Source organism: Homo sapiens, chromosome 16 (genome assembly GCF_000001405.40).
Source record: "Homo sapiens chromosome 16, GRCh38.p14 Primary Assembly".
Taxonomy (NCBI): domain Eukaryota; kingdom Metazoa; phylum Chordata; class Mammalia; order Primates; family Hominidae; genus Homo; species Homo sapiens.
Genome location: NC_000016.10, coordinates 75,412,067 through 75,425,739, shown reverse-complemented (window position 1 = coordinate 75,425,739; position 13,673 = coordinate 75,412,067). Strand labels below are relative to the sequence as shown.

At 41.0% G+C, this 13,673-nt stretch overlaps 1 protein-coding gene across 8 annotated transcripts in view; it reads left to right on the top strand.

Moving 5' to 3' along the window:
* CFDP1 (craniofacial development protein 1) overlaps positions 1 to 13,673 on the top strand; it is a 139,794-nt gene that overhangs the window by 7,764 nt on the left and 118,357 nt on the right. For all 8 annotated transcript variants that reach the window (XR_007064846.1, XR_007064847.1, XR_007064845.1 and 5 more), the window contains exons 2-3: positions 11,045 to 11,162; positions 12,986 to 13,205. Coding sequence is in view for 5 of the 8 variants with exons in the window: in NM_006324.3 (NP_006315.1) it covers positions 11,045 to 11,162; positions 12,986 to 13,205 (338 nt within the window). In the remaining 3 variants the exon portion in view is untranslated. The remainder of the gene's footprint in view (positions 1 to 11,044; positions 11,163 to 12,985; positions 13,206 to 13,673) is intronic.

Genomic DNA, 13,673 nt, shown 5'->3' with positions numbered 1-13,673 from the left:
TTTAAAAAATCAGTTATCATTATTTATTTTCAGTTAATTTTTGCATAAGATATGAGTTATGGATTCTTTTTTTTTTTTTCTTTTGCATCTGGATGTCCAGTATTTTCATTATTTGTTGAAAAGATTATTCTTTCTCCATCGAATTCCCTTTGTATTTCTGTAAAGTGAACTGGCCATACTTGTATAGGTTTATTTCTGGGCCTCTGTTTCCACAGTTTCATTTACTGTTTTTGATTTAAGTGTTGAAATCAGGTAGAGAGAGTACTCCAACTTTATTCTTTTTCAAAATAGTTTTGGCTGCTCTTGTTCCTTTGCCTTTCCATATAGTTTTTTTTTTTTTTTTTTTTTTGAGGGGGATGGAGTGTCACTCTGTTGCCCAGGCTGGAGTGCAGTGGCGCGATCTCTGCTCACTGCAACCTCTACCTCCCAGGTTCAAGTGATTCTCCTTCCTCAGCCTCCTGTGTAGCTGGTACTACAGACGTGTGCCACCAGGCCTGGCCACCATATGCATTGTAAAATCACTTTGTTCATCTCTCGAAAAAGTATCCTACTTTGATTTTGTTTGGAATTGCATTGAATCTGTAGACCGTTTTGGGAAGAATTGACAATTTAACGATCTTATATTTTAGTCTATGAATACAGTCTGTATCTTTTTTTTTTAGGTGTAAAAAGTTTTTATTTCTAATTGTTTGTAACTAGTATATGGAAATACAATACAGGTTCTGCATACTAACCTTGTATTCTACAACCTTGCTAAACTCATTTACCAGTTCTGGAGGTTTTTGTAGATTCTGTGGGATTTTCCACACAGACAGTGATGTCAAATGTGAATAGAAACAGTTTTATTTCTTCCTTTCCAATATGTTTACCTTTTATATTTATTTTGCTTGCCTTGTTGTACTTTATACTTCCAGTATGATGTTGAATGCTAGTGGTGAGAGGGGACATCTTTGCCTTTTTCCCAATCTTTTTTTTTTTTTTTTTGAGACGGAGTCTCCCTCTGTTGCCCAGGCTGGAGTGTGCAGTGGCACGATCTTGGGTCACTGTGACCTCTGCCTCCTGGGTTCACGCCATTCTTCTGCCTCAGCCTCCCGAGTAGTTGGGACTACAGGCGCCCGCCACCACGCCCGCTAAGTTTTTGTATTTTTAGTAGAGACTGGGTTTCACCGTGTTAGCCAGAATGGTCTTGATCTCCTGACCTCGTGATCCGCCCGCCTCAGCCTCCCAAAGTGCTGGGATTATAGGCGTGAGCCACCGCGTCTGGCAGCCTTTTTCCCAATCTTAAGGGGGAAAAGAAACTAGTGTTTTACCACTTGATGTGGTGTTAGCTATAGGTTTTTCACAGATGCCGTGTGTGTCTGTCTGCCTGCCGTTTAAACCCTTTAGCATTGAGTAACTTATTACCAACTCAGTCACCTAACACTGTACGTGCTAATTGTGTTCTGCATTTTACTGATGAAAAAACTGAGGCACAAAGTCTAAGCAAATGGCTGAAATTCATCCAGTTAGATAGTAACTTAGCTGGAATGTTAACCTTGGCAGTCTGCATATATTGTCCCTCAGAGATTCCTTTTATCATGTTAGATAAGTTCCCCTCTGTTCCTAATTTTCAGAGAGGTGAATTTTGTCAAATGCTTTTTCTCCATCTATTGATTTAATTACATGTGGTTTTTCTTTTTTTTTGTCTGTTAATATGGTGGATTACAGTGTTTGATTTTCAAATTTCTGACAGACTTATTTCTGGGAGACAGCTCACTTGGTCAGGATATATTTATACATTGCTGAATTTGGTTTGCTAATATAGTCAGCCTTCTGTATCTGTGGTTTCCACAGCCATGGATTCAACCAACTGCAGATAGAAAATATTTGGAAAAAGGCTGGGTGCAGTTGCTCACGCCTGTAATCCCAGCACTTTGGGAGGCCAAGGAGTGCAGATCACTTGAAGCCAGGAGTTAAAGACCAACCTGGGAGGCCGAGGTGGGCGGATCTCAAGGTCAGGAGATCGAGACCATCCTGGCTAACGTGGTGAAACCCCGTCTCAACTAAAAATACAAAAAATTAGCCGGGCGAGGTGGCGGGTGCCTGTAGTCCCAGCTGCTCGGGAGGCTGAAGCAGGAGAATGGCGTGAACCCAAGAGGCGGAGGTTGCAGTGAGCGGAGATCGCACCACTGCTCTCCAGCCTGGGCGACAGAGTGAGACTCCGTCTCAAAAAACAAAAAAAAACCAACCTCGCCAACGTGGTGAAACCCAGTCTCTACTAAAAATACAAAAATTAGTCCCAGCTACTGGGCTGAGGCACGAGAATCGCTTGATTACCCAGACTGGAGTGCAGTGGCGCAATCAGCTCACTGCAGCCTAAAACTCCTGGGCTCAAGTGATCCTCCCACCTCAGCCTCCCAGGTACCTGGGACTACAGATGCACACCATCATGCCCATCTAATTTTTTTTTTTTTTTTTTTGAGACGGAGTCTTGCTCTGTCACCCAGGCTGGCGTGCAGTGGCACCATCTCGGTTCACTGCCAGCCCTGCCTCCCGGGTTCACGCCATTCTCCTGCCTCAGCCTCCCGAGTAGCTGGGACTACAGGCACCCACCACAAGGCCCGGCTAATTTTTTTGTATTTTTAGTAGAGATGGGGTTTCACCGTGTTAGCCAGGATGGTCTCGATCTCCTGACCTTGTGATCCGCCCACCTCGGCCTCCCAAAGTGCTGGGATTACAGGCGTGAGCCACTGCGCCCGGCCTAATTTTTTATTTTTTGTAGAGATGAGGTCTCTCACCATGTTGCCCAAGCTGGTCTCAAACACCTGGCTTTGAGCAATCTTCCTGCCTTAGCCTCCCAAAGTGCTGGCATTACAGGTGTGAGAAAACCTGGATTTGTTTGTTTGTTTTTAAAAGAAACAGGGTTTTGCTCCGTCACCCAGGCTGGAGTGCAGTGGCAAGATCACAGCTCAGTGACACGTTGAACTCCTGGCCTCAAGCGATCCTTCTGCCTTAACCTCTAAAAACGTGTTTTTTTTTTGATCACAGTTTTAAGACTCTCTAAGAGGCTGGATGTGGTGGCTCTGACCTGTAATCCCAGCACTTTGGGAGGCTGAAGTGGGTGGATCACTTGAGGCCAGGAGTTCAAGACTAGTCTGACGAACATGGTGAAACCCCGTCTCTACCAAAAATGCAAAAATCAGCTGGGAGTGGTGGTGCATACCTGTAGTCTCAGGTATTCGTGAGGCTGAGGCAGGAGAATCACTTGAACCCGGGAGGATCGTAGTGAGCCAAGATCATGCCACTGCACTCTAGCTTGGGCAACAGAGCGAGACTCTGTCTCAAAAAAAAAAAAAAAAAAAAAGAGGCCATACGCAGTGGCTCACGCCTGTAATCCCAGCACTTTGGGAGGTCGAGGCAGGTGGATCACGAGGTCAAGAGATCGAGACCATCCTGGCAACACGGTGAAACCCTGTCTCTACTAAAAATACAAAAAATTAGCCGGGTGTGGTGGCAAGCGCCTGTAATCCCAGCTACTTGGGAGGCTGAGGCAGGAGAATAGCTTGAACACGGGAGGCAGAGGTTGCGGTGAGCCGAGATCGCACCATTGCACTCCAGCCTGGGCAAAAAGAGCGAAACTCCGTCTCAAAAAAAAGAGAGAGAGAGAGAAAGTATTTGGGAAAACAAATGGGTGGTTATGTCTGTACTGAATGTGTACAAACTTTTTTCCTTGTCATTATTTCCTAAACAATACAGTATAACAACTATTCATATAGCACTTATATTGGGTGTTGTAAGTAATCTAGAGATGACTTAAAGTATGCAAGAGGATGTACATAGTTTATATGTAAATATGACATCATTTTATATCAGGGACTTGAACATCTGTGGGTTTTGGTGTGGGGTGGGGGAGATCTTGGAACCACTTCCCCAGAAATATGGAGGGACAGCCGTATTTTGTCGAGGATTTTTGCATCTGTGTTTATGAGGGATATCGATCTGTAGTTTTTTGGTAATTTCCTTGTGTGATTTTAGTATCAGATAATGCAGGCCTCATAAAATGAGGAAATACAGGCTTTGTTTCTTCCAGGGTGATTTTTTATTCACCTTGTATGCTTGTTTAGGGTTTTATTATGTAAGAGGCTTTCTCGGATTTATACTGATTCTTAGTTGGTTTGGCTCATATTTATGCTTGGGGCACTAGAAAGGTTATTGGAAGCTCTGAGTCTTTGGACAAGATTTGTTCCTTTTGTGCCTACATTGTCTACAGGGATGTTATTCTGATTCTTACTATCTTTTTTTCCCTCATAGTAACTGCATGGAATTTGATATTGAGGTTTTGGGGGGTTTTGTATGTATAATTTAAAATTTTCTTATCTCTTACTGATGAAGGACTTTTCCATAGTTTAGCTAAAGATGGAGTCCTTGTCCCACAGCCATGATAATTTAGGCTCACAGACAATTTGAAGCTTGAGTAAATCAGGGTTTTATTGGGTGAAAAGGGAAAAAAGGGGGAACAGGGACTCTGCAAGGCCAGAGTTCCTGCTGCTGTGCTTCCTGCCTTGCAGCTTTGAATCCCAGGTTGCACACAGGAAGAAGAGGGGCCGGGCTCCTCCCCGCTGCAAACAGCAGGAACCTCTGTGGCTCCACCCCAGTGCGCATGCCTCCTAGTCTGCTGGCTGGCCGGAGATTCTCCAGGGACCCCCTCCCACATGGCTGTCTCATTATTAATGAGATTAAGCATCTTTTTACATGTTTAAGATCCAGAGTCATGTGCATCTACTTGTCTGAACTGTCTACAACATTTGCCTGTTTTTATGATGAAAACAGGCAAAAGTTTTCAAAAGTAGTGCAGAGCTTTATAGAAAATTAGAAAATGCAGACAGTTAAATTAAAAATCACTTAAAAATAAAAAAAATAGTTGAACTACCTAGAGACTATCATGTCAATCCTTTAGTGAAAACTCACTCTGATTTTTTTCTACACCTAGGTATAGATATTTGTATTTTTTCCTCAGCCTGCAATTGTATTTACTCACATCGCTTTTCAACCTACTCTTTTTAGTGGATGATTTCTACCCATTTATTTTAGTAAATGTTTTATCTTATATATAGATCATACTCAAATTTTCCAAAATGGTTATAGCTTGTGTGTCCAAATCACAGTTGAGTTCAATACTACACATATTATCCAGTTGTTCCATCCTTGAGTCTCTTTTAATCTAGCACACTCCCCTTTCTATAATGGCATAGATAGCTGAAAAGATCAAAGCCATACATCCTGCAGCATGTCTCACCTCTTGGATTTGTCTGGTTATTCCCTCATGGCGTTGTTTTAGTTCCTTTGTTCCTTCAGTTCTCTGTAAATCAGAAGTTAGATCTAAATGCTTGATGGGTTCCAATGAAATACTTTGGCCAGAATGCATTATCAATGGACATCTGATGTTTGAATAGCATCAGAAGACACAATATCTGGTTGATAACTATAGTGGTGACTATTAAATCAGGGTGATAACAGTCTGATCCCTCTCTTGTATACTTGTTTTTTCCTTTGGAACTTTTAGAACTGGAAAAGTATTCCCTGTGGCAGTATACTTAATGGTTAAAACTTAAATTGCTTTTTAATTTTTTTTTTTTTTTTTTTTTTTTTGAGATGAAGGTCTCACTGTGTTGTTCAGTCTGGACTCAAATTCCTGGGCTCAAGAGAGCTTCTGAGGTAGCTGAGACTACCTGTTACCTGAAAGGGGATCCAGACCCAGACCCCAAGAGAGGGTTCTTGGATCTCGAACAAGAAAGAATTCGAGGGAAATCCATACAGAAAAGTAAAAACAAGTTTATTAAGAAAGTAGAGGAATAAAGAATGTCTACTCCATAGACAGAGCAGACCCAAGGGCTGCTGGTTGCCCATTTTTATGGTTATTTCTTGATTATATGCTAAACAAGGGGTGGATTATTCATGCCTCCCCTTTTCAGACCATTTAGAGTAACTTCCTGATGTTGCCATGGCATTTGTAAGCTGTCATGGCGCTGGTTTTGGTGGGTTTTAGCCAGCTTCTTTACGGCAGACTGTTTTATCAGCAAGGTCTTTATGACCTGTATCTTCTGCCAACCTTCTAGCTTATCGTGTGACTTAGAATGCCTTAACCTCCTGGGAATGCATCCCAGCAGGTTTCAGCCTTGTTTTACCCAGTCGCTATTCAGGATGGAGTTGCTCTGGTTCAGATGCCTCTGGCACACCCAGCTTCTTAAATTGCTTTTTGGCATTACTTAATAACCCTTGCCTAAACTACTACTGTCATTAGAGTTTGAGAAGTGATGTCTTTCTAATTCTGTGGTTCTTCTGTATTTATTGGTTGACATTTTTCTGTAAAGTATAGCTTTCCTTTATCAATTGGAACAATATAAATATTTAATTCTTTTCCCTCAATTTTCAAAATAGGTAGTAATTTTAAATAGCAGTCTAAAATGGTACAAATTTTTTTTTCTGTCTTTTTAATATCATGAGGGGCTCACAGATTTTTATTCAGTGTGTTTTCATTTTCTAACAATTACCTGTTTTAATGTTCAGGTCTTCACTGCTTTGGCCAGTAGGAGCTCTTTCAGGCTGGATCTTGTATCCTTTTAATTTGATCTTTTTTTATTATTATTTATTTTTTATGAGTCGGCGTCCTGCTTACTGTAGCCTTCAATTCCTGGGCTCAAGTGATCCTCCTGCCTCAGCCTCCCCAGTAGATGGAACTACAGGTGCGTGCCACCATGCCTGACTAATTTTTTAAAAATCTTTTATAGAAACAGGCTCTTGCTCTGTTGCCCAGGCTGGTCTCGAACTCATGGGCTCAAGCATTCCCCCCCATACTCACCCACCTTGGCCTCCTAAGGTGGTAGGATTACAGGCATGAGCCACTGCACCTGGCCTTGATCTGTTATTTTTAAATAGCTTCCTGACTTCCTGGCACAGAAAAATGTCCTGGTTTTACCTTGTGCTTTCTTTGCCTCAGACCTGAAATGAGTTTTTTTTTTTTTTTTTTTAGGGAGCCTTTTTGTGGTAAATGGTCTCAACTTTGAACTTTAGAGATGCTTGATGTTACCAGAATGATGTAGTTTATATGCCGTTTGTGTAGTGGACAAAACTAGGAAATACTTAAAAAGGGTTAGCCGGGCGCGTTGGCTCACGCCTGTAATCCCAGCACTTTGGGAGGCCGAGGTCGGCGGATCACAAGGTCAGGAGTTCGAGACCATCTTGGCTAACATGGTGAAACCCCATCTCTACTAAAAATACAAAAAAAATTAGCCAGGCATAGGTGGTGCACGCCTGTAGTCCCACCTACACGGGAGGCTGAGGCAGGAGAATGGCGTAAAACCCGGGAGGCGGAGCTTGCAGTGAGCCGAGATCGTGCCACTGCACTCTAGCCTGGGCGACAGAGCGAGACTGCGTCTCAAAAAAAAAAAAAAAAAGGGTTAGAGTTCATATTGATATTCTTAATTCTTTTTTTTTTTTTTTTTTTTTTTGAGACAGAGTTTCACTCTTGTTGCCCAGGCTGGAGTGCAGTGGTGTATCTCAGCTCATCGCAACCTCCGCCCCCCAGGTTCAAGCAATTCTCCTGCCTCAGCTCCCTGAGTAGCTGGTATTACAGGCATGCATCACCACACCCAGCTAATTTTGTATTTTTAGTAGAGATGGGGTTTCACTGTGTTGGCCAGACTGGTCTCGAACTCCTGGCCTCAGGTGATACACCCACCTCAGCCTCCCAAAGTGCTGGGATTACAGACATGAGCCACCGCTCCCAGCCAATTTCTTTGATTTTATAATTGTGTCATTTCTCTTATTCTGAAGATCTAGATTCCTAACGTGATTAATTACTTGCTTTAACCTATGATATAAAGGAAATAGTTTCAAAATACCAGCATTGATGTTACTACACAGAGTAGAACTTTTTTTTTTTTGTCTTTGGAATGCATCTTGATGAAGATGTATAGTCAGAATACTGTTTTTAAAGTCCTGGGAATAGATCTTTTGTTTATGTGGTTATGTTATCATTTTGGTATACAGTTATGTTTATTTATTCAAACTTTTGAATTTAAGAGATTTTCAAAGTTCTGTAGAGAGATAAACACAGTGAACTCTTGCTTCTACTCTGTTTTATCCTGACCCTTATAAGGAGCTGTTTTCATTAGTTTCTTGTTTATCCTTCTAGTGTCGCTTTTTCCATATACAAACAAATATAAGCATATTCTTAATTCTTCCTTTTTCCTCATCCAGAGCTGGCATATTTCATACACTGTTCTTTTGCTTTTCCTCTCCTTTTTTTTCTGTTTAACTTAAGAGTATATCTTGGAGGTAAATACATAGAAATTTTACACATTGCATTGTAATGACTGTGGTATTCCATTATTTAGATGGACCATAGCATTTTCAGCCAGTCACTTACTGTGAGACAACTTGAGTTGTTTCTAATTTTTTGTTATTACAAACAGTACTGAGTGAATAAACTATTATATATTCTGGGATAGAAGTGGGACTGCTGGATAAAAAGGTAAATACATTTGTGTTTCTTTGTATTTTGGGGTGGTATTTGTTTTTGTTTTTGTTTTTGAGACAGGGTCTCACTGTCACCCAGGCTGGAATGCAGTAGCGTGTTCATGGCTCACTTCAGCCTTGACCTCCTGGGTTCAAGTGATCCTCCCCTTAGCCTCCCAAGCAGCTGGGACCATAGGCATTCTCCACCATGCCTGGCTAATGTTTAAAAATTTTTTTTAGATATGGGGTCTCACTAGGTTCAGGAGGAAGTAAAATTACATTTCTATGTTCAGATTGCTGTCTTAAGCAGGAACTCACTGCTCTCTTCATGAAACACTGTCACTTAGCCCTTGGTGTTTGGGATGTCAAACAGAATTCCATTTTGGATATTGATTGTTTCCACCTCAGCCTCAAATGCTTATTCTCCAGATTTTCACACAGCTGGCTCCTTCTCATCGCCTTTAAAAAATTTTTTAATTTATGTATTTATTTTTTTGAGACAGGGTCTTGCTCTGTTACCCAGGCTGGAGTGCAGTGGTGTGATCTTGGCTCACTCTAGCTTTGACCTCCCAGGCTCAAGTGATCTTTCTGCCTCAGCTTAGACTAGAGGTGTGTACCACCAAGCCCAGCTAATTTTTGTATTTTTTTGTAGAGACAGGGTTTCACAGTTGCCCAGGCTGGTCTTCAACTCCTGGGCTCAGGCGAACCACCTGCCTCGGCCTCCCAAAGGGCTGAGATTATAGGCGTGAGCCACTGGTTTACCTTTTTTTTTTTTTTTTAAATCTCTTTTATCATTGTTTTAGTTTTTACGAGCTTTTTTGTTTGTTTCATTTTTCTGAATTATTTTAAAAGTCTTATTTTTATTCCATGGATGCCACAGTTTCTCTTACCTCTTTCAGGATATTAATTACAAATCCTTTTTCCTTAAGTTTTTAATCTGTCCCCCTCCCCATCCCCTCTTTCTGCACTAATTTTGTTTCCTCTGAATTCCTTTCTGTTTGTCTTGAATCTTGCCTTTCATATTGGAGGCTTTTCTCAAGTGTTTGGTGGTCCTTGGTACATTATAAGTGAAGTATTTAAAAGCTGATTGGAGGCCGTGTGCGGTGGCTCCTGTCTGTAATCGCAGCACTTTGGGAGGCCAAGGCGGCTGGATCACCTGAGGTCAGAATTCAAAACCAGCCTGGCCAACATGATAAAACCCCATCTCTACTAAAAGTATAAAAATCAGCTGGGTGTGGTGGCACACTTCTGTAATGTCAGCTACTCAGGAGGCCAAGGCAGGAGAATCGCTTGAACTTGGGAGGCAGAGGTTGTAGTGAGCCAAGATCGCGCCACTGCACTCCAGCCTGGGTGACAGAGCAAGACTCCGTCTCAATAAATAAATAAAGCTGATTGGATGCACAGGAGTATCACAACAGTACTGTTTGTAATGACTCCAAATTGGAAACAACCTAGTTGTGCATCAGCAGTAGAATGAATAAACGGATTATGGTATAGTCATACAATGACACACTATTTACTGTTCAGGAGTGAGAATGAATAAACTACAGCTACACTGCAACAATGTGGGTGACTCTCACAAACATAATGTTGAATAAAAGAAGCCAGACACAGAAGAGTACACACTGCAGGCTTCTGTTGAAAGTTGAAAAGCAGGCAAAACTAACCCGTGACTTTAGAAGTCAGGATATTGGTTCCCTTTAGGGGTAGGGCAGTTGTTAGTGACTGGAAGGGAGCACAGGGGGCCTTCTGGGATGCTGCTAATGTTCAGTTCCTCGAGCTGGGGCCCTGGTTATGCAAGTGTGTTCACTGTGTGTCATTCCATTGAACTGTATATTAGATTTGTGTGCTTTTTGGTATGTACACTTCAATTGAAAGTTTATATGAAGTAAAAGAGGAAAAAGGTAGTGGAATCTCTGTGTGGGCAGGGTTGGTTTATTGACTGGTACCCACAGCATGTGGTCAGACATCCAAGCAACACTCTTTTGTTGGGGACCCTTGAATGTCAGTGTCTGACAATGGGACATGGGTGTGTTTGTTCTTTCTGCTATGTTTAACTGGAAGTCTTTAGGTTTCCTTTTAAACTTCTTTTATTGAGAAGACAAAGTGTTTTTTAAATTAGATTTGAAAGATACCCAAGATGAGGTAGTGCATCAGTTTCTTCTTTGAGAAACACATTAGTAGAATTGAAATTTCTGTTCATTCACTCATTCATTTAGTGAATACTTAAAAGTCACAATGAACAGGGTTTATGTCCTCTTGGAGTATACAGCACAGCAGAAATTACCAACATTAAATATAAGTGGGATGAGTTTTGGAGGGGAAATAGAGACTGCCATGGAAGCCTACGATAGAAGAACGTAGGGTAGTCTTCAGGGGCAGAGAAGACTTCCCCAAGGAAATGATGTTTTCGTTAGGTGAAGAGTAGGGGAAAATTCACTTTTTCTTAATGAAAATGTCTCGGTGTGAAAGCTTGTATTAATGAAAATGTCTCATCTTGATGTGAAAACCTTTATTCCTGTCTGATCACCCTGTTATGTGATTTCAGGTGGAGAGTATAGTGAAGATGATGTAAATGAATTAGTGAAGGAAGATGAAGTGGATGGTGAAGAGCAGACACAGAAAACCCAAGGGAAAAAAAGAAAGGCCCAGAGCATTCCAGCCAGGTGATGCTGCCTTCAAGGCCCTTAGAAGTTAGGGGCTATTGTCACAACCATCCTGATTGCTAAGATTGGTCTCATGATAGATTTAATGAAGCCAGAGTTTCTAACCCTTTTCTCTTTGAGGGAAACATTTGCTGTTATTTTAGGATTAACTTCTTGGTCTCTGGAAAGCTTTAAACATTTTGAGCTTTAATGTAAAGAAAATGTTAATAGGTAATATGTACATATGGTTAGAACAGAAAATTCAGTCCCTGAAAAGATGTTTACCCTGTTCCTAGACCTTGTTGCTTTGCCTCTGAAGAACTATGCTACCAGAGATAGTCTGTGCATGCAAATGCATATATGTCTATATTTTCTTCATTTTTTTTTTAGAAAAAAAATATAAATAGTAGCATACTCACTTTCTCATTTTCATTTCTCTTTATTTCACATCTTGGAGATAGTACCATGGCAGTATCTCCTCCTTTTCATAGTATTACGTTATGTGAATAGGCCTTACTTTATTTAGGCTTTCCTGTATCGAGGGATGTTTAGATTGTATCTAGTCTTTACTACAACAAAGAAGAGTGCAGTGAATATTCTTTGTATACATGTATACAAAGTATACATAAATATATAAATGTATATAATGTATACATGTATAAATATATCTGTAAATGTAACATTTAGAAGTGGAATTGTTTGATCTAAGGTTATATATGCAATTAAATTTTAAAAATACAGATATTAGCCCATTGCCTGGCATAGGCCTGGTATGGGCTTCTTTTCCCATGAAAATTATGAAAATTCTGACAGGTTATTTAACTTAGATAAGGGCATCTTCCATAGAAGTCTTTTACCTCACTTGGGTGTTTCTGTCTTCCTGGGCATTGAAGCAAAAAGCAGATTATCATTTATGAAAAAGAAAAAAGAATGTAGATATTAGATTGATTCACCTAAAGTCAAAATAGTCTAAGAAGCAATATACTCTTATAAGTCTTGGGCCCAGTTTTTTTGTCCTTGAATTTTTTTTTTTTTTTTTTTTTTTTGAGACAGAGTCTCGCCCTGTTGCCTAGGCTGGAGTGCAGTGGCGTGATCTCTGCTCAATGCAACCTCCGCCTCCTGGGTTCAGTTCCCTGCCTCAGCCTCCGAGTGGCTGGATTATAGGCACCCACCAACATGCCCGGCTAATTTTCTCATCTTGTTGTGATGAAAGTTTATATGAAGTAAAAGAGAAAAAAGGTAGTGGAATCTCTGTGTGGGCCTTGGCCTCCCAGAGTGCTGGGATTACAGGTGTGAGCCACTGCGCCTGGCCTGTCCTTGAATTTTTCTATGTTCCAGCTCTCAGTTCTTCCGAAAGTGGGAAGAAACATGGATTTTTTTCTTTTTCCTTGAGAACTCTTGGAAGAAATAGTGCAAATAAAGTTGAGGCTCTTCTAAATAGAACTTGTTCTACAAATGGAGTAGCTTTAAAAAGTCAACAATGTCTGGCACATATAATATGTTCTTAGAATATTCTTTCTGGATAGATTAATTCTGTGATTAGGTGATTTGGATGTTTTCTTTGTGAAAACAGCTGGTCCTGATTTAGAAGGAGAACGCTATACTTTGATTTTAAGTGATTGGAGAAAAGTTAGCACTAAGAGCTCAGTTTTTTTTTTTTTCAATTCTTTTTTTTTCTTCTATAAAATTTCAGCTTAACTCTTCTACTCACTTCAGTATATTAACCAGTAGTCCCAGAATTTAAAGTGTTCTTGGGTTTATAAGATTACCTTTGGGATTGGGAGAGGGATAACTGAAATCGTTTTGTGCTGTCTTTCCTTTTTCCTGTGACTGCTGGTGATTAGGAAGAGAAGACAAGGTGGCCTCTCATTAGAAGAAGAGGAAGAGGAGGATGCCAATTCAGAATCTGAGGGAAGCAGTAGTGAGGAGGAAGATGACGCTGCAGAGCAGGAAAAAGGCATTGGATCAGAGGATGCCAGGAAAAAGAAGGAGGACGAACTCTGGGCCAGCTTCCTCAATGATGTGGGACCAAAATCAAAAGTGCCCCCAAGTACACAAGTTAAGGTAAGTTGAGACATTAGTGAGGTGAATGCCTCTCCAGAAATACCCTACATTACTGAGATTTGAAGCCTACGGAAATCGACCAGATGCCTTTTGATAACAATTGTACTAAGTGAAAAGCAAAGCATTTCCTGTGGTAGGAGAATAAGCTTCTCTAATCATGTAAGTTTCCAATAGGCCTTTAACTGGTTAGAGATGAAACATTTAAGAGTAGCTATAGGCTGACTGCAGTGCCACACACCAACAATCCCTGCACTTTGGGAGGCTGAGGCAGGTGGATCATTTGAGGTCAGGAGTTCGAGACCAGCCTGGCCAACATGGCGAAATCCTGTCTCTACTAAAAATACAAAAATTAGCTGGGTGTGGTGGCGGTTGCCTGTAATCCCAGCTACTTTGGACGCTGAAGCAAGGAGAATCGCTTTAACCTGGGAGGTGGGGAGGTTGCAGTGAGCCAAGATTGTGTTACTGCAC